General features: G+C 38.1%; 1 long non-coding RNA gene across 2 annotated transcripts in view, besides 1 other annotated feature; it reads right to left on the reverse strand.

Moving 5' to 3' along the window:
• Positions 1–21,375, reverse strand: part of LINC02542 (long intergenic non-protein coding RNA 2542) — a 257,985-nt gene that overhangs the window by 93,550 nt on the left and 143,060 nt on the right. Inside the window, exon 1 of one of the 2 annotated variants that reach the window (NR_149134.1) lies at positions 991–1,091. The exons of the other annotated variant lie outside the window; for it this stretch is intronic. This is a non-coding gene — a long non-coding RNA (long intergenic non-protein coding RNA 2542). Of the gene's footprint in view, positions 1–990; positions 1,092–21,375 lie in introns of those variants that run through there. 2 annotated transcript variants of the gene reach the window in all.
• Positions 319–1,518: an enhancer, noted in NCBI's record as "P300/CBP strongly-dependent group 1 enhancer chr6:82647366-82648565 (GRCh37/hg19 assembly coordinates)". NCBI's record gives its function as "activates an origin of replication core promoter dependent on BRD2, BRD4, P300/CBP, MED14 and CDK7 cofactors, with strong dependence on P300/CBP, by STARR-seq in HCT116 cells {active_cell/tissue: HCT116}" and the evidence as "EXISTENCE:reporter gene assay evidence [ECO:0000049][PMID:35650434]".

Below are 21,375 nucleotides of genomic sequence, written 5' to 3' on the forward strand. Positions count from 1 at the left end.
TTGTTTGGAAGATCAATGAATGAATCATCCAACAGGCGAACAAACTCTGGATGACACATTACTTTAAGCCACATCTGAAATGAATTGAAAGTTTAAAAGGCCACATAATAACATCGATCAGTATACATGCTTTTCTTGTTGAAAGATAATCAGATGCCAGAAGGGCCCTTTGTAACACACTGTCCCAGGGACTATCAATTCCAACATCCACACATATGTTCCCCCCATAAAGCACTGGCAGCCATTTTGTACTTATTGACTGTGCCTCTATAATTCTTCTTCAGATAAATGATTCACCAGATTGTAGTAGCCCTTAGTCAGAGAATCACAACTAACAGCTAAAAGCAAGTGTCAAAACCAAGCAAATGAGAGAGCGATAGTCTCTTCCCACTGTTCCGGGTGGCAATGGAAAGAGTAAATCCTAAATAGACTGGAAGCTGAGAACAGACAGCCGGAAAGAAGGTAGGACGATAAGAGGGAAGAAAGAAAGTGTTAGTGGATGGATTTAGGGCCAGATTAGTTCAAAAGCCTGAGTAAAATTTCAGCTCTAAGTTGTAGAAACTGAGTGGAAGCTGGAATCCAAACAAGTACTTCATTTATTCAGTGGAAATATTTAACCAATACTCTATGTCAGGACATGTTCTAGATACTGGGGATATGTTATTAATCAAAACAGAAATGTGTAAACTCCTAGAAAGTATATTCCAGTGGGGGATGATAACAACAAACATTTAATGTAATCAATCAATCAATTACTCATAAAGTATATTGAAAGAGAAAGAGAAGTGCTGTAGAAAAATTAAAAATCAGGGCAAGGAGAATTGCAAAGGCCAGAGTGGAAGCTTCCATGTAAATGCTGTGGTCTTAGCAAGAGGATTAAATATCAATAATTCACCAGAAAACGGCAGAGTCACAAAACTAAAAGGAAACCATTATGTAACATAACACAAAGAGAGCAATTTCATGACAGTATATAAAAGGACTACTCACATTTTTCATCTAATTTAAAGAAAATATTTACTATGCATGTAACACCAGAGAAGCTCTGAAAACATTTCAGAGATAGTTCCTTGTCCATATGCTTCTTTAATAAAACACCTTTCTGCTAAAGAACACAGTTATGTGGACTTCACTTACTGGCAAGGTCAAAGTCCTCTAAAAGCAGTTTCGTTTCATCACTGTCCATGTGACTGATACTATTATCTTTGTTTTACAGGTGGGGACATTAGAATGTTGATGACTAAGCACCATGAGTCAGTGGTAGGGTTTATGGAAAACGCATGTCCTAGGCAGCATGCAAATGACTTCATCTTATGTGGGTTTGGCCATGTAAGAAGTTAAATTATCTCAGCAATTTTGTGAACTTGGCTTTCTTCATAATTATCCTTCTTCCCGTCTGCTGTCCCAAAAGACCTGGTTACTGAAGAAAGCTCTGTGAGAGCTAAGGATGAGTGTAAATGCCATGAAAACACCATAAAAGTATTCTGTAGGTGCCATGCCACAGGGTTCTTCTAATGAAGGAATTCAGGAAAAGCTTAGGCACTGCCAAAGAGTTTAAGTTCTCAAGTATTTTTTTTTCCCCTCTTAGAAAAGTGCCTTTTTGGCTGGCATTTCATAGGAAAATGACAAAGACTTTACAGCAAGTCCCTTATCTCCTTTCCTTTTTTAAATCTTTAGAACATGGTTAATACTATGTATTTGTGGTTCAACTAGTAAACACTGATTACACTTGGCAAGTGACAGCAATAGCAGCAACCCCACAAAACTTAGGCAATAATGATGGTTTCTTTAAATTTGGAATTCAAGATAAAATTGGGAAATGCATCAAGAAGGGATAAAGCTCTTTAGGTTATCTTATCACAGAATTTGAAATTTGTGGCCAAGAGAATGAAGTTAAATGTTTATTTTATACTACTTGATCATTCTGAAAGTTTTCCAAGTTATTTCAGACTAAACTTAAAGCAGGATATTGTGTGAATCAACTCTTAAATATTAATGTGGCCCTGCCAAACTGGTTTCCTTAAAACCTCTTTCATTTGTGTTACCCTACCATTTTCTCATGTAACAGATGAAGATAAATGTGCAATGCTGTTAGCCCATTTTGCTACTTGGATTACTAGGTTCACACATAAACACATAGAGAGAGCACCTAATTATTCAGGGCAAACGCCACTTTTGCCCAAGGCAACTTACTTTGTCTACCTATTACTCTTTTAGTGATCATTTTCTTTCCTTTGAAAAGTATCAGAATTGAAATACCAGGAATTCCAAAACAAACCACTCCTCCCTGTGTCATCCTTGTCCCGCTGCTTCTGATCTTGGCCCTCAAACCTAGTCAACGGCCTTATCAGAACTGATCAAGCTGACTTAGATTGGAGTTATTTTGATGAGAGCTTGAGTGTGTAATCAGATGTATGGATTTTTGCCCTCTCCCAGAAAGAGGTCAGAAACATGTGGATGGAGCCCTAAGGGGTAGCCTGGTCTCGTTTGAAATAAAATAAATTGGCTTCACAGTGGCCACTCTGACCTCTGGCAGTCTAATTTCTCAGCTGGATTATAACTAGATGCCCTACATACAGCTATTCTCAAGAACTACACAAGCCTACGAAAGAGAGAGAAACTTTTAACTGGTGAGAATGCTGGAGCTACATCTGTCCAGGAAACTGGTAACACGGTGACATCAACTGGGCTCCAGAAGTTTTGAGAACTTCCATTTGGCTTTGAGAAACAATTCAAGGTGTTAATTCTGACTTATAAAGCTGTCTGTGTTTTGGATGCTGGTTACCTTAGAAATGGCTCTAAGGCCATTTCTCTTAGCTCTAAGGCTGAAGAGTTCCCAGATTTACACTTCAAACACCCAGAAGCAACACCCTTCCATAAACAGACGAGATGGCTAGAATTAAGGGCTGCTTCAATCTCACAGAATTCTACTTTGTAAATTACAAATTTTACCCCTTGGCTTCCTTTACTGATTAGAAATATGAATGTGGAGAAAGTACCAATGTGAAAATTTTACCATCAGCAGATTAATATCCTTGAGTGTTAAAACATTTAAAGTCCAATCTTAAAAGAGTATAATAACAAATTCCAGTGTATATTTAAATAATGTTCCTGTTTATAACCCTAGCTATACAACATATTTATTCCATGAGATCATATATTTAAACAATTATCTTCTTACTGGCAAGTACATATTCCCATGAGCAATGAGATTTTAATAAATTAGATGTCATCATCTGTAAATACCTTGTTTTAAAATATGCCTTTCATTTATACTAGGTTTTTAAAAGAATTTGGCAGATGTTTCCTTAACCTCTTCACAAGATTGACTTAACCTGCATACACTTGTACCATTTTTACTATACCCTAATTATTCAACCATTGTTTTATTTGTCCAGAAACATCTGAACATGCTTTGAATAATCCAGACAGTGAAGAGTTGAAACTGTCTGGGGATTTAGCATAAGCTTTCTCTGGAACTAGCAGCACCATCAATGCTCAGTGCACCTCCTTTTAATATTCTAGTGTTTTAGGATCATTAACATTCCTTTCAGCTGCAGGATGTCTTTATAATTCTTTTTTTCACAGAGGAAAAAAACAGAAGCAGAATCGATTAAGAGGCTTACCCAAGGCCATTCAACAGATTACTGATAAAGGTAGAATTGGTGCATTATATCTCGTTGAAGAAAGCTTTTCCTTTTTGCGCATTTCTCTACCAACTAAATTAACCCATATCCTATCAGCAGGTGATGTCAATCTCAGAACACAAACTGTTCTTGCTGTTCCTGTTAAAATATATGTATGGAACACATGTATGAGAACACCATATAAAGGAACAAGAAATCAGTAGAGTGAGAGCCAATTCAAGATTTAAGTACAAGAGAAAAGTCCATAACTGTTCAAAATCGGACAGTTACTGGCAGCCTCAAATACTCTTGAGCTGGTATCAAAAGCAGAGAACTGCTGCGCCAGAATGCTAGGACAGTTCCTCATTCCCTCATACAAGCACAAGTATAGTCACCAGCATAAAAAGTCAAGATTGTTAGCAATGCCTAACCACCTAATTGCCCAAGTAACCGTCTTTCTTTTACAGGCCTCATTGTCTTGAGCATGAAGGAAGTGGCAAACCAGTGGGACTGTAATCTATTATCTGTTACCACTAAGAGCAGGGATGCATTGTGACACCAAGTGGGAAAAAAAGGCCAGAGAGATAGACATGGAGGAGACTCATCTGAGTAAGGCTGTACTAGACATTGCCTTCATCTTTCCTTCAAAAGACTGACTTACAACTGTGGGCACACTGGGGAGGGGAGCCAGGAGGAGATAAGAAAAAGAAATCAACTTGATAGAAGAGCTTGAATAGGTTGGGCAAGGAGTGATTTTACATAGAGAGTAGTTTCCTGGTCCTTGCTCTGGTCTACATGCCTGTGAATCAATTACACACACACACACACACACACACACACACACACGCTCTCTCCCTCTCTCTCTCTATCATAAATTAATTACTCCTGCAGATTATTGAATGAAGCCCATGCACAATGTGGCAGAATATGTGATAAATCCACCTGCCAGGACCCTTGGATGGTGCGTATGGTGGGTTGGGCAACACTTATCAAAGGAACAGCCGTCTTGTTCTCACCAAAAAGCACGTGAATAAAAGCCAATGCAAAATGAGCTGCAATCGTAACATTGTTTTACTAAAGTTAATCTGGCTGCCAAGTATGGTCCAAACAGCTTTTTGTTTGCTTGTTTTAAGCCCTAGAGCTTTTGGCTGTTGGCTTTTATGATTGAGATATCAATTTTGAGAAAATCCTTTAATTGTTATGCTTTTTAAAACCTTAATGCCCAGATACCACTCTAAAGGTTTCCTTGCCTTCCTCTGTCTGATACTCTGGAAAATGTCAGCTCCACAGCTATTTCATGATCCAGTGCAAAGCTAACTAGAAGATCATAAAACGATATGTCCAGAAACGTTAAAACGTTAAAAAAGTAGCTTGCTCTTTTCTCATAAACTAGATTCTAGTGTAAACTTGTATGAAGTACAAGCTTAAAATTTAAAGCTTCACAATTTTAGAATGTGTCCATAAAAAATATAGGAGTAATGACAGTGAATAAAGTATGTTTTTATAAACTTTTGGTTCTGCAAAAAAATTTTTAAAAACATTCTGTAATGAAATGTTTTAAGAACCTAAATTAGAAAAGAGAAAGGTACTAAATATGAAGACTGGGTAAATTATTTGTCTATAAATTAGAAATTAAATATAGATAGATATTAAAAACCAAAATATTAGAATTAATTAGATCTAAGATGGTGTGCCAAGTAAATATATTCTTTTTTTAAAATTTTATTATTATTACACTTTAAGTTTTAGGGTACATATGCACAATGTGCAGGTTTGTTACATATGTATACATGTGCCATGTTGGTGTGCTGCACCCATTAACTCATCATTTAACATTAGGTATATCTCCTAATGCTATCCCTCCCCCTCCACCCACCCCACAACAGTCCCTGGAGTGTGATGTTCCCCTTCCTGTGTCCATGTGTTCTCATTGTTCAATTCCCACCTATGAGTGAGAACATGCGGTGTTTGGTTTTTTGTCCTTGTGATAGTTTGCTGAGAATGATGGTTTCCAGTTTCATCCATGTCCCTACAAAGGACATGAACTCATCATTTTTTATGGCTGCATAGTATTCCATGGTGTATATGTGCCACATTTTCTTAATCCTTAGACGCTAGAATATCCATAGATGGAGTTCAGGCAATTAGCATATCCTTTAAAATAGTATGAAAAATCGTGTATCTTTGTGAACATGCTTTCTGTTAGATTCTGAGATGGGTTCACAACATAAATAAGAAAGTTTTAAAGCCACTGACACAAAAGATATGTCTTACACAATTCAAACTTTCAGTATTCAGTAATGCTTTGTTCTTTTTGATGGTTTTTCTAACTTAAGGTTGTTATACTTACTCAACTAGTAAGGCATATCTCAAACTTTTGTAATATTTGGTGTATGCAATCATTGCAAAATGCAAATTTCTTTTCATCATTCCTTTTCTGTACAGAAAGAAAGGAAAGAAGTGCCTAATAGGATAAGGACTATGTTATAAGTAATAACAATAAAATTAAAATGTTAGTGAATTTATTTAAATATCAAAAGAAAAATGCATATATACTGCCCTATTTTATTATCCATAAATCAAAAAGCAGTTTTATTCTATTCATTATTTTTCAAAGAAAGGAAGAAAATTCCTCCTCTTCCCTTCATTTTAAAGGTATTCATAGGCACTATAAGTATCTTACAGAAGGTTATTTGGCAATATGCTTAATGATTTGGATACTGAACAGTTACTTTAAACTGTATAGACTTGCTTTACTTAAACAAGCAATTTTCCCTTTCAAGAAGGATCTCATCAAAAATTGAACAGTGCCTCTACTTTACTGTCTGGAAAAGATGAGCAAAGACCAGAATACTTTCATTTATCCAAAAGAATGTATTTTTCTTCTTCTCCAGACTCCTATTTATCGAAAGCTTCCTGACTATGGGGGATAAAAAGAGTTTCACAAAACTAATAGACAATCTAAAGTTCTCTATACAATTGCAAATAATTTATCAACACAAATAAGAATAAACATTCATTTCTTGTCAATATGCATCATGAGGATGAAAGGAAAGTGTGGTACTTTGACATTTTTTTCAAACTGTTAACTTAATATAAACATAATTCAAGAAATGTTTGGAAGAAGCAGTAGACTCCTGGTATTGAAGCCTTATCTTCATATATATTCTGCTCAAGTATCATCAAGTTTTGAAAGCTAACTACTGACTTGCCTAATTTATAAGATATTATCTCAAACTTTTGTAATATTTGGTTTGTGCACACATTATGTCCCAGTTAGCCATAATGAACTCCAAAATCAAATGAGAAAAGATATCACAGGAGGAAAGGAAAGGGCATTTAGACATTTTACTTTTTGATCAAGTTTTTAAAGGTTTTATTATTGGTTTTCTACTTAATATGGCCCTGTGCCAGGCATGGTGGCTCATGCCTGCAATCCCAGCACTTTGGGAGGCCAAGGCGGGTGGATCACTTGAGGTCAGGAGTTTGAAAGCAGCCTGGTCAACATGGCGAAACCCCATCTCTACTAAAAATACAAAATTTAGCCAGGCATGGTGGTGCATGCCTGTAATCCCAGCTACATGGGAGGCTGAGGCAGGAGAATCACTTGAACCCGAGAGGTGGAAGTTGCAGTAAGCCGAGATTGCGCCATTGCACTCCAGCCTGGGCAAAAGAGTGAGACTTTGTCTTAAAAAAACAAAAATATATGGCTCTGAATAACAACATTCAAACTCTTTTGCTTGATATTCAAAGTTTTTATAATTTTATCCCCAAAATTCCGTGTCTTTGTTTCCCAGAAAATTGTTCACCTTAGCAATATGCTTCAGGTTATGGGCTTTGGGAGCAGTGAAACCTGAATTCAAGCCCTAGTTCCATTGTCTACTAACCAACCTTGGCTACTTGGTTAATGTTTCACTTATGAAACATGCATTTTCTCATTTAATACTCCCAGCAACTTGACTGATTAGATTTCAGTGATGATCAAATGAGCTACTCTATATAAAGCTATGCACAGTGTCTGGCACAGAGTAACTCTCCAGTGACTATCAGTCATTGTTATTAAAATATGTCTACACTAACGCTCTGTCCCTGCCTAGTTCATGATTTTCTAAAATGTATTCCGTCTCAGCTCCATACTTTCTCAGATGTTGCCATGCATCCAAATGCCACTTATACATCAAGTCTCTCCAATATACCTCCTTATAAAGTCTTCTTTTAGGACTTTTGTAAGCTCCCATATCCTAATTACTGACTTCACATATCATTTGGTAGTTCTCTATTATCTATCTGTTATGTATCTATATTTTCCTAAACTATTACTTATACTATTTCTATATTTTGAATTTATGTTTAGTATCCCAAATGAAACAGTAATTTAAGGACAAGCATTATCTTACATCTTTTCCTATTTTCCCTAATACCTAGCAGAATGTGTTGCCCTTATGTGTGCTACATAGAGATGATTTAATTTTTTAAGCCTATAGAAGAAAGAGACTATTTAAAATTATCTAAAATCTATTTACTTCTACAAAACCCAGGCCTATAGCATTGAGCTGCACAATGGGGTTTAGAAGCGTGAGAAGTTGTTAGTTGTTATAGCCAGTGTTGTGCTGGAGTCAGATGGAACTACTGTATCTTGCAGGCATCAGTTGTGTATATTTTTCCTCCTACTCTGCATACAATGATGTCTCATTGGTAGCTTGAAATAGGCCATGGTGTACTTACAGCACGAGAATTGGCAAACACTACAAATCTGGGCTTTCTCTCTCTCTCTCTTTCTCTCTCTCCTTTCTTTCTTTTGTTTTCTTTTTTTGGAAAGCTGATTGTTATACATACATTTATCAGCATACCACAAAGATTGATTTAAAGCTATCCAAAGGATCTATGTAGATTTAATACTAAGAAAACTCATATATCTATGCTTCCCTACCAGAATCAGAGGGCATTCTATGCACATAGAAATAGCATATTCATATTATTAGTGGAGAGATTCTACATTTATTATTTAAACAGTAATTTTCTTTGCAAATGATGGAGATATTTGGCAGATAGTCCATGTATTTGTATAGCGAAGCTATGGCTTTATTTTTCAAGAGCACCTTCTAAAAGGTGAGCTCTTCAGAGGAATTTGCTGGGTTACAGACATGTATCAAGCCGGGACTGTATTAATGACTGTGCTGGGCTCAGAGTAGTCACTCAGAAAAAAAAAAAAATAATTCCATTCATCTCTTACTTTTAAAATCTAATGTTGCTCAAGATGAGTGGGAATTTAAAAGAAAGAGAATATGCTCCACACACTAAAACAATTACCAAAGCACAAGTATATTCTTAGCCTTGGAGATTGTAAATAGAGATTGCAGCAGCTATTTTTCTGTATGTGTCTCTTTTGTCATTTGTTCTGTAATTCAAACAAGTTTTTAAAAGATGCCATTGTCTGTGTTAGGTCAGCAGTATAATCCTGGAGAAACTTATATTTGGTTGTTGTTGTTGTTTTTTTTTTTAACCATGAGGTTGATTGGTGTTTTCCTTAAAGCACTTCCAATTCAGGCCGTGGCGTCAGCCCTGAGCCTCCCTGCACTGCATCCAGAAGCAGCATTCTTTAGGTTATTATGAAGAGAGAGGAGGACAGAGGAAGGCACATTAGTAAAATCTCAGTTTGCATGTGATACATGAAAGATTTCTTCTGAAGGCAGATATAAAACACCACCAAAGATTAAAACATCATGACACACCAAAATCACATACTGAAAGTCCAGTGATCCATCAAACACACTCAGGACAAGACTTTTTATTGTATGTGACATAGACATTTGTCTCCTATTTCAGGAAAAACAGAAATGTTCTCTTACCACAGAGGCACAACAATAAACCACCTTAACTGAGAAATTCAAAGGAGAGCTGGATCTCCATTATACAAATGGAACCGCCATAGGGTTCTAACTCCTTTGTAATGAACTAAACTTAATAATTGGATTTCCTCATTTTCACAACTTCCCTATTTTTTCCAGTTCAGGATTTTAGTTTTGGAAGCTCCCTGTGCTCCCTGACAGAGGCTGTGTGCCTCAGGCTCCCCACCTTCTGCTATTAAAGTGGAGACTAGCAGATACTGAAGACATGTTAGTATTTAGATGAAGGCCTCACCCAGATGTTAACAGGAGGCATTAAAGAATATTTTTGGACAGAAATTGTGCATCTCTGGAATAGATTTTGTGACAGGAACAAACATTTCAAGCATTGGCCTTTTGTGGGATCACTAGAACCTGCCCGCTCACATTCTAAATGAGGAGAGTATCCACTATGGGACGTCTAAATAGAGACCCAAGATTATGGTGCTTACTAGGGCAAAGCAGCAAGGAAAAACATCCAAACTAAAAAGGCAGTTTACTCTGTAAACAGTAATTTTAAGTTGACATTTGATTTCAGATAAGTTGAAACATCTGAGCCCGAATCCCATGCCAAATTAAAACATACATAAAAACCATCCTTTGGGGTTGTGAAGCTTTTAAAGATGGAGCAGTAATGTAAGTATACTCTTTACACAGAGCTATTCCTAATTGTGTCTCTTCTGTGTTCAAAACACTTCAGTTGTTCCCTGTTACATTGTAGGATGAAGTCCAATGCCTCAGTATGGCGTGCAAAGTCCTTAATGATCCCACGTCTCCTGCCTCATAGTTCACTCCTAGTCCCCTCCCTGGATGTTCTCTACACCACTAATACTGTATTTCCTTCAATTTTCTTGTTTCTAGTCCTTTTCATGAGCTGTTCTGTACCTGAAGCACTGGCTAATTCCTATATATCTTTGGTGTCTCAGCTTGGACCTTTCTCCTTTCCTTTGCTGACTCCTGAAGGTATGGTTAGATTCCCCTCAAATTTTCTCCATACCACAAGGTACTTCACTCATATGACACTTAAAACACTGTATTTTAAGAGCTTATGTCCTTGTCTACATCCACTAATAGATATTCAACTTCATAAAGGCAGAGGTTCTGATATTTTGTTGGTGCTGAATCCTCAGCATACCCTCTACATAGTAAGTTGTCAATAATCATTTGCCTACTAAGTGAATAAATTAAACTCCTGTAACTCTATTAAGATGAATGACCAGCCAGGTGTGATGGCTCATGCCTGTAATCCCAGCACTTTGGGAGGCCAAGGAGAGTGGATCGCCTAAGGTCAGGAGTTTGAGACCACCCTGGGCAACATGGTAAAACCCTGTGTTTACTAAAAATACAAAAAATTAGCAGGGCGTGATGGCAGGCACCTGTAATCCCAGCTACTCAGGAGGCTGAGGCAGGAGAATCGCTTGAATCCAGGAGGCAGAGATTGCAGTGAGCCAAGGTCACTCCATTGCACTCCAGCCTAAGCAACAAGAGCGAAACTCTGTCTCAAAAGGGAAAGGAAAGGAAAGGAAAAAGGAAAGGAAAAAAGAAACGAAAAAGGAAAGGAAAGGAAAGGAAAGGAAAGGAAAGGAAAGGAAAGGAAAGGAAAGGAAAGGAATCAATGACCACAAGTACCTAAGTGGTTAGTGTCATTGCAGGGAAATTCATGAGAGCAGAGAACTTGTCCTGTCTACCCTTGTATCCCCAGCATTACCATTGTATCTGACACACAGTAAGTAAATGCTCAACAAACATTCATTGAATAAAAAAATTGAAATACTGAGTAGCATTTAAATTACAATATATTGTCTTTGACATAGTGGTTAACACAATATTCCTATTAATAACTCTAATAAGAATATTAAGCATTTTCAGGTTTTTTTAAGTCATAATAGCTCAGGGGGGCAATTATTATTCTTATTATACCAACAATTACTACTGTCAACCTTAGTAACTTTGCCTATTACAGATCAATAATTTTTTTCTTCTCAAGGATTATCCTGAATAAATTCTATTGAGTAGTGTTTTCAGATTTGCATCTTTGAGTTTCAGTAATACCTAGTCTTCTTGAAATATGTTATTTTCCAACTACACAAATGTCCTCCCTGACTCCCTCAATAGAAACACAGTTGGATTTCTATATTTCTCAAAGAGAAAGACAAAAGAAACCAATAAATTCTTTGGAGCCACACATCCTCACCTAGGAAAAAATGAAAACAGCTAACTAGAAGGGTATTTGAGAAATGATCTGGCTCAGCAGCATGCTCAGGACTGAATGATTTATTCTTCCTTTAAAAGGAAGAGGATGGCTACAATCACAGTATTCAATTAGCCTGCTCCAAATACTTAAATATTTTTTCTTTAAAAATAGCACTAGTCTACACACATACATCACTCACAGAGTCATTACCTCTATACATTATGTAAACAATTTGCATAACTAATATAAATGATAAAACACTGTTACCTACAAATATAATCAAGGAGAACCAAGTTGAGCATTCATAGATTCATGATAATCACATTACATAAATACAAATAGTACTCCCACCACTGCCCACCCCTATATTCCTACCATTTCAGTGAAAATCTCCTTTTTGCAGTTCTAGGTGAAGAAAATATTGTATCAGACTGAATACTGTGCTATAAGTTTTGTTACTATGAAAATAAACCCCTATTTTAATAAAGAAAAAGAACAACAATAAAACTATATGGAGTCCAGTTCTGCTCTGGAGAAGAGCTTCAAAGTGATTCAAGGTTCAGTTTCCTATGTTAAGAAAAATGAGCAAATTATAAAGTTGGCAGCTTTTGTTTTTACATTTCCCATCTATCTTGCATAAGATTGTCCCAAACCCCTATAGCTCCTCACTTGGGCCTGACTTTTGAAACTTTATTTTTTCTGTTTGAATTCAGTAATCAGCAGACAAAGCCAGGAACATCAGAAGTGTCGAGTGGCTCAGATTTGAAAGAAACAATCCTTTTGTAGACAGAGTGATAGAGGAGCTGTATCTGGAGGCTCTCACGTGGCAGGACTTGAAGAATATGGCCTTCCATTCACAATCCAGCAGCAAGGAGAAGCAAGGTAAGAGAATGACAGCTGGACATCTTAAACAGGTGGTTAAAAAAAAAAAGCTTTAAGAAAAGAAGGGTGGGTGATTGTCTCAGTCCACCTGGGCTGCTGTAACAAAATACCATGAACTGGATAGCTTTTAAGCAACAGAAATTTACTTCTCACAGTCCTAGAGGTTGGAAAGTCCAAGATCAAGGCACTGGCAGATTCAATGTCTGGTGAGGACCCACTGTCTGGTTCATATATGGCACCTTCTAGCTGCATCCTCACATATTAGAAGAAACCAATAAACTCTTTGGAGCCTCTTTTATAAAAGAACTAATTCCATTCATAAAGTCAGAGCCCTTATGATCTAATCACCTTAGAAAGAGCCCTTCCTTCTACACTTGATTTTAGCCAAAAGGCTGAGAAGCAATGAGCCCTTCCTTCTAATACCATCAACCTAGCTACCAAGATGTTACAAACCTAACACTTCACGGGTAGGTTTCAACATGTGAATTTGGGGGAAACACAAGCATTCAGACAATAGCAGTGATACTGGCTATGCAAGTAAGTTACTTATCAGGTGATATGTCAGGAACCTGGACATACATTCAGACTCATGGATCCAGGAGAACAGTAAGAATGAGGCATAGTACCAGAAAGATTTACTAGAGTAGAACTTTGAAAACAACCATCAAAGTAGAAGTAGGTTATTAACCCATGCCTGGTACAATATTGCATGGCTGTTGACTCAATACCAAGACATCAATTGCTGGTCTACGGGGCTCATGAAGATCCTGGAAAAGTGTGTGCTGGACCATTAGGTAGGTTAAAAGACACCAGATTTGCAGAGAAGGGAGGATATATGCTGGATATTGACTTCTAGACCTTCCTCTAAGCTCTTGATATTCATCAGAATTTCCTACCCTGGCCTCAGGGCTTTCCTTCTACACAAATTAACCCTTGTGGTTTATATGATCTTAACTAAAGGATGCCCCTTAACAGGTTAAGGCTGTCCTTTTCCTTAGCTTCAGAATGCCCTCACCAGTCAAGGAGGAAGGAAATGCTCACCAAAATTAGCCCAGTGAACAGACGAAAATGTGAAAGCTGCTTGGCCTCTGCTTCTCACACTTTTGATCTCATACAGGATGTCAGCCAGATTAGAAAACTACACTCATGGGGAAAACATACTGCATTGATAAAAGGTAAAGAAAGGCTGACTAAATGTACTTAAGGCAGAAATAACCATAGCTGACCATGAGTCAGCTATGCATCACATCACTAAAAATAATCTATCCCACCAATTCCTTCTTTCTGTCATTTGCCATTATCCTTGATCAGATCATTAAAACCAAGCTGGTTTTTTAGAGCTCTTCCTTAGTCCATCCCACAGCAAGTGATATTCTCTGCTCCAATCTCATCTATATTCCAAGGTCACTGTGATTTTTCTCAGTCTTCTATCTTAGATATATTTCAATTTCATACATATTTAAACATCACCTGCCTGCCAAATTAAGTTCACATTTTTTATTCTGACCTAAACATTTTTCCAGCATTACCTTCTACTACCCAACCTGTATCAAAGGAAACTGTAAATTTTGATTGTTCCTGGTTTTCTGAATACATTTATCATTTTCTCACTTCTGGATATTTATCCTCACTGTTCCTTTATGGGCATGTCCTACCTTCACCTCTACCTGACAAAATTCTATCTATTCTTCTAAAATCTAGATGCTGCTTAAATGCCTAATATTCCCTAGTCCTTTCAACCACAGGGATTTCTCACCTCACTGATTTTCTGTAACTATCTCTCATGCTAACTGTACTCATTACGTTCGATGCTGGAGTAAGAATTTTCTGGGTCCACTGTCATAATATCTGCTGCTAGTGAACTTTTAATAAGTGTTTGTGGAATTTAAAAGAAGCAAGCATGATTCTTGTGGATGGATGCATAGATAGATAGATAGATAGATAGATAGATAGATACATACATACATACATACATAGATAGATAGATAGATAGACACACATGAGCTACACACAACTGTTTTAAAATAGAATATGGTATCTAATTAAGAAAATCAGAAACCAACAAAATTATAATGCCCACGAAGTACAGTCATGATGTAAAGTATGTTTCAGCTCTCTAAAGTTTGCTGTTAAATACCACCTTCCTAAAACCTCAGAATCTTTATGAAAACCATCATGTAGACAAAATGACCTAAAGAAAATTGAGATAATCATTGTCATATAAAATTCACATTTTGGCCAGGCGCAGTGGCTCACACCTTTAATCCCAGCATTTTGGGAGGCTGATCACCTGAGGTGATCAGGTGGGTGGATCACCTGAAGTCGGGAGTTCAAGACCACCCTGACCATCATGGGGAAACCCCATCTCTACTAAAAATATAAAATTAGCTAGGCGTGCTGGTGCATGCCTGTAATCCCAGCTACTTGAAAGGCTGAGGCAGGAGAATCGCTTGAACCCGGGAGGAGGAGCTTGTGGTGAGCCAAGATCACGCCATTGCACTCCAGCCTAGGCAACAAGAGAGAAACTCTATCTCAAAAAAAAAAGAAAAAAAAATCACATTTTGGCTATTCAGTCATTCTATTGAAGTTGAAGATAGCAGCTAGGGGCTTCTAGCTCTTTCAAATCATGCAGTTAATTCAGAGGGAAATCTTTAAGGCAAGATTTGCTTTCCTGATAGTGGTTTCAAAAATATTAATAACTTAGAATAAGTTGTTTATGAAAAAGATAAATTCAGAGAATGAGATTTGGATTCCAGTTCTAATACAAACCCTGGACATATACGCTTGAGTGAAACACCTTACGATTGCAATAACCCAACTCCAGATTATAAAATAAGGAAATATCCTGGTGCCTTACCTATTTCATTGTAAGGACTGAAACAAGTAAATCAAGGGAAAGCACCTTGTGAACTGTAGGAAAAGCACCAAAAGCTCTGCCGATAGTAATGTCAGTTCCTATTAGCTCTCCACTAACCTAGATCAAGCAGCTCTGTAGTTGAACCAGCTACCTTCCCACCCACCTCACATGCAGCGCTCCAGATAGATTCTGTGATTTTCTAGTTGACTATACTTGTAAGAACCTCAGATTCCTCCTGTCCACCAGTATGAGTCTTGTAATTTTTTCATTTTTTTAATTATACTTTAAGTTCTAGGGTACATGTGCACAACGTGCAGGTTTGTTACATATGTATACCTGTGCCATGTTGGTGTGCTGCACCCATTAACTCATCATTTACATTAGGTATATCTCCTAATGCTATCCCTTCCCCCTCCCCCCACTCCACCACGGGCCCCAGTGTGTGATGTTCCCCTTCCTGTGTCCAGGTATTCTCATCGTTCAATTCCCACCTATGAGTGAGAACATGCGGTGTTTGGTTTTTTGTCCTTGTGATAGTTTGCTGAGAATGATGGTTTCCATCTTCATCCATGTCCCTACAAAGGACATGAACTCATCCTTTTTATGGCTGCATAGTAGTCCATGGTGTATATGTGCCACGTTTTCTTAATCCAGTCTATCCTTGATGGACATTTGAGTTGGTTCCAAGTCTTTCCTATTGTGAATACTGCTGCAATAAACATACGTGTGCATGTGTCTTTATAGCAGCATGATTTATAATCCTTTGGGTATATACCCAGTAATGGGATGGCTGGGTCAAATGGTATTTCTAGTTCTAGATCCTTGAGGAATTGCCACACTGACTTCCACAATGGTTGAACTAGTTTACAGTCCCATCAACAGTATAAAAGTGTTCCTATTTCTCCACATCCTCTCCAGCATCTGTTGGTTCCTGACTTTTTAATGATCGCCCTTCTAACTGGTGTAAGATGGTATCTCATTGTGGTTTTGATTTGCATTTCTCTGATGGCCAGTGATGATGAGCTTTTTTTCATGTGTCTGTTGGCTGCATAAATGTCTTCTTTTGAGAAGTGTCTGTTCATATGCTTCACCCACTTGTTGATGGGGTTGTTTTTTTCTTGTAAATTTGTTTGAGTTCTTTGTAGATTCTAGATATTAGCCCTTTGTCAGATGAGTAAATTGCAAAAATTTTCCCCCATTCTGTAGTTTGCCTGTTCACTCTGATGGTAGTTTCTTTTGCTGTACAGAAGCTCTTTAGTTTTATTAGATCCCATTTGTCAATTGTGGCTTTTATTGCCATTGCTTTTGGTGTTTTAAACATGAAGTCCTTGCCCATGCCTATGTCCTGAATGGTAATGCCTAGGTTTTCCTCTAGGGTCTTTATGGTTTTAGGTCTAATATTTAAATCTTTAATCCATCTTGAATTAATTTTTGTATAAGGTGTAAGGAAGGGATCCAGTTTCAGCTTTCTACATATGGCTAGCCAGTTTTCCCAGCACCATTTATTAAATAGGGAATCCTTTCCCCATTGCTTGTTTTTCTCAGGTTTGTCAAAGATCAGATTGTTGTAGATGTGTGGTATTATTTCTGAGGGCTCTGTTCTGTTCCATTGGTCTATATCTCTGTTTTGGTACCAGTACCATGCTGTTTTGGTTACTGTCGCCTTGTAGTACAGTTTGAAGTTAGGTAGCGTGATTCCTCCAGCTTTGTTCTTTTGGCTTAGAATTGTCTTGGCAATACAGGCTCTTTTTTGGTTCCATATGAACTTTAAAGTAGTTTTTTCCAATTCTGTGAAGAAAGTCATTGGTAGCTTGATGGAGATGGCATTGAATCTATAAATTAACTTGGGCAGTATGGCCATTTTCACGATATTGATTCTTCCTACCCATGAGCATGGAATGTTCTTCCATTTGTTTGTATCCTCTTTTATTTCATTGAGCAGTGGTTTGTAGTTCTCCTTGAAGAGGTCCTTCATGTCCCTTATAAGTTGGATTCCTAGGTATTTTATTCTCTTTGAAGCAATTGTGAATGGGAGTTCACTCATGATTTGACAAACTCTCTGTTTGTCTGTTATTGGTGTATAGGAATTCTTGTGATTTTTGCACATTGACTTTGTATCCTGAGACTTTCCTGAAGTTGCTTATCAGCTTAAGGAGATTTTGGGCTGAGACGATGGGGTTTTCTAAATATACAATCATGTCATCTGCAAACAGGGACAATTTGATTTACTCTTTTCCTAATTGAATACCCTTTATTTCCTTCTCCTGCCTGATTGCCCTGGCCAGAACTTCCAACACTGTGTTGAATAGGAGTGGTGAGAGAGGGCATCCCTGTCTTGTGCCAGTTTTCAAAGGGAATACTTCCAGTTTTTGCCCATTCATTATGATATTGGCTGTGGGTTTGTCATAAATACCTCTTATTATTTTGAGATATGTCCCATCAATACCTAATTTATTGAGAGTTTTTAGCATGAAGGGCTGTTGAATTTTGTTGAAGGCCTTTTCTGCATCTATTGAGATAATCATGTGGTTCTTGTCCCTGGTTCTGTTTATATGCTGCATTACATTTATTGAGTTGGGTATGTTGAACCAGCCTTGCATCCCAGGGATGAAGCCCACTTGATCATGGTGGATAAGCTTTTTGACGTGCTGCTGGATTCAGTTTGCCAGTATTTTATTGAGGATTTTTGCATCAATGTTCATCAGGGATATTGGTCTAAAATTCTCTTTTTTTGTTGCATCTCTGCCAGGCTTTGGTATCAGGATGACGCTGGCCATAAAATGAGTTAGGGAGGTTTCCCTCTTTTTCTATTGAGTGGAATAGTTTCAGAAGGAATGGTACCAGCTCCTCCTTGTACCTCTGGTAGAATTCAGCTGTGAATCCATCTGGTCCTGGACTTTTTTTGGTTGGTAAGCTATTAATTATTGCCTCAATTTCAGAGCCTGTTATTGGTCTATTCAGGGATTCAACTTCTTCCTGGTTTAGTCTTGGGAGGGTGTATGTGTCGAGGAATTTATCCATTTCTTCTAGATTTTCTAGTTTATTTGTGTAGAGGTGTTTATAGTATTCTCTGATGGTAGTTTGTATTCCTGTGGGATCGGTGGTGATATCCCCTTTATCATTTTTTATTGCATCTATTTGATTCTTCTCTCTTTTCTTCTTTATTAGTCTTGCTAGCAGACTATCAATTTTCTTGAACTTTTCAAAAAACCAGCTCCTGGATCCATCAATTTTTTGAAGGGCTTTTTGTGTCTCTATCTCCTTCAGTTCTGCTCTGATCTTAGTTATTTCTTGCCTTCTGCTAGCTTTTGAATGTGTTTGCTCTTGCTTCTCTAGTTCTTTTGATTGTGATGTTAGGGTATCAATTTTAGATCTTTCCTGCTTTCTCTTGTGGGCATTCAGTGCTATAAATTTCCCTCTACACACTGCTTTGTGTCCCACAGATTCTGGTATGTTATGTCTTTGTTCTCATTGGTTTCAAAGAACGTCTTTACTTCTGCCTTCATTTCATTATGTACCCAGTAGTCATTCAGGAGCAGGTTGTTCAGTTTCTATGTAGGTGAATGGTTTTGAGTGAGTTTCTTAATCCTGAGTTCTAGTTTGATTGCATTGTGGTCTGAGAGACAGTTTGTTATAATTTCTGTTCTTTTACACTTGCTGAGGGGTGCTTTACTTCCAACTATGTGGTCAATTTTGGAATAAGTGTGATGTGGTGCTGAGAAGAATGTACATTCTGTTGATTTGGGGTGCAGAGTTCTGTAGATGTCTATTAGGTCCACTTGGTGCTGAGCTGAGTTCAATTCCTGGGTATCCTTGTTAACTTTCTGTCTCGTTGATCTGTCTAATGTTGACAGTGGGTTGTTAAAGTCTCCCATTATTATTGTGTGGGAGTCTACGTCTCTTTTTAGGTCTCTAAGGACTTGCTTTGTGAATCTGGGTGCTCCTGTATTGGGTGCATATATATTAAAGATAGTTAGCTCTTCTTGTTGAATTGATCCCTTTACCATTATGTAATGGCCTTCTTTGTCTCTTTTGATCTTTGTTGGTTTAAAGTCTGTTTTATCAGAGACTAGGATTGCAACCCTTGCCTTTTTTTGTTTTCCATTTGCTTGGTAGAACTTCCTTCATCCCTTTATTTTGAGGCTATGTGTGTCTCTGCATGTGAGATGGGTCTCCTGAATATAGCACACTGATGGGTCTTGACTCTTTATCCAATTTGCCAGTCTGTGTCTTTTAATTGGAGCATTTAGCCCATTTACATTTAAGATTAATATTGTTATGTGTGAATTTGATCCTGTCATTATGATGTTAGCTGGTTATTTTGCTCATTAGTTAATGTAGTTTCTTCCTTGCACTGATGGTCTTTACAATTTGGCATGATTTTGCAGTGGCTGGTACCGGTTTTTCCTTCCATGTTTAGTGCTTCCTTCAGTAGCTCTTGTAGGGTGGCCAGGTGGTGACAAAATCTCTCAGCATTTGCTTGTCTGTAAAGGATTTTATTTCTCCTTCACTTACGAAGCTTAGTTTGGCTGGATATGAAATTCTGGGTTGAAAATTCTTTTCTTTAAGAATGTTGAATATTGGCCCCCAGTGTCTTCTGGCTTGTAGAGTTTCTGCTGAGAGATCCTCTGTTAGTCTGATGGGCTTCCCTTTGTAGTTAACCCAACCTTTCTCTCTGTCTGCCCTTAACATTTTTTCCTTCATTTCAACTTTGGTGAATCTGACAATTATGTGGCTTGGAGTTGCTCTTCTCGAGGAGTATCTTTGTGGTGTTCTCTGTATTTCCTGAATTTGAATGTTGGCCTGCCTTGCTAGGTTGGGAAAGTTCTCCTGCATAATATCCTGCAGTGTTTTCCAACTTTGCTCGATTCTCCCTGTCACTTTCAGGTACACCAATCAGATGTAGATTTGGTCTTTTCACACAGTCCCATATTTCTTGGAGGCTTTGTTCATTTCTTTTTACTCTTTTTTCTCTAAACTTCTCTTCTCGCTTCATTTCATTCATTTGATCTTCAATCACTGATACCCTTTCTTCCAGTTGATCGAATCGGCTAATGAAGCTTGTGCACTTGTCAGGTAGTTCTCGTGCCATGGTTTTCAGCTTCATCAGGTCATTTAAGTACTTATCTACAGTGTTTATTCTAGTTAGCCATTAGTCTAATCTTTTTTCAAGGTTTTTAGCTTCTTTGCGATGGGCTCGAACTTCCTCCTTTAGTTCGGAGAAGTTTGATCGTCTAAAGCCTTCTTCTCTCAACTCATCAAAGTCATTCTCCATCCAGCTTTGTCCTGTTGCTGGTGAGGAGCTACATTCCTTTGGAGGAGGAGAGGCGCTCTGATTTTTAGAATTTTCAGCTTTTCTGCTCTGTTTTTTCCCCATCTTTGCGGTTTTATCTACCTTTGGTCTTTGATGATGGTGACATACAGATGGGGTTTTGGTGTGGATGTCCTTTCTGTTTGTTAGTTTTCCTTCTAACAGTCAGGACCCTCAGCTGCAGGTCTGTTGGAGTTTGCTGGAGGTCCACTCCAGACTTGTTTGCCTCGATATCAGCAGCATAGGCTGCAGTACAGCGAATATTGCTGAAAAGCAAATGTTGCTGCCTGATCGTTCCTCTGGAATCTTCATCTCAGAGGGGTACCCAGCTGTGTGAGGTGTCAGTCTGCCCCTACTAGGGGGTGCCTCCCAGTTAGGCTACTCGGGGGTCAGGGACCCACTTGAGGAGGCAGTCTGTCCATTCTCAGATCTCAAACTCCATGCTGGGAGAACTACTACTCTCTTCAAAGCTGTCAGACAGGGACATTTAAGTCTGCAGAGGTTTCTGCTGCCTTTTGTTCTGCTATGCCCTGCCCCCAGAGGTGGAGTCTACAGAGGCAGGCAGGCCTTCTTGAGCTGAGGTGGGCTCCACCCAGCATGAGCTTCCCAGCTGCTTTGTT

This window comes from Homo sapiens, chromosome 6, assembly GCF_000001405.40.
Source record: "Homo sapiens chromosome 6, GRCh38.p14 Primary Assembly".
Lineage (NCBI taxonomy): Eukaryota > Metazoa > Chordata > Mammalia > Primates > Hominidae > Homo > Homo sapiens.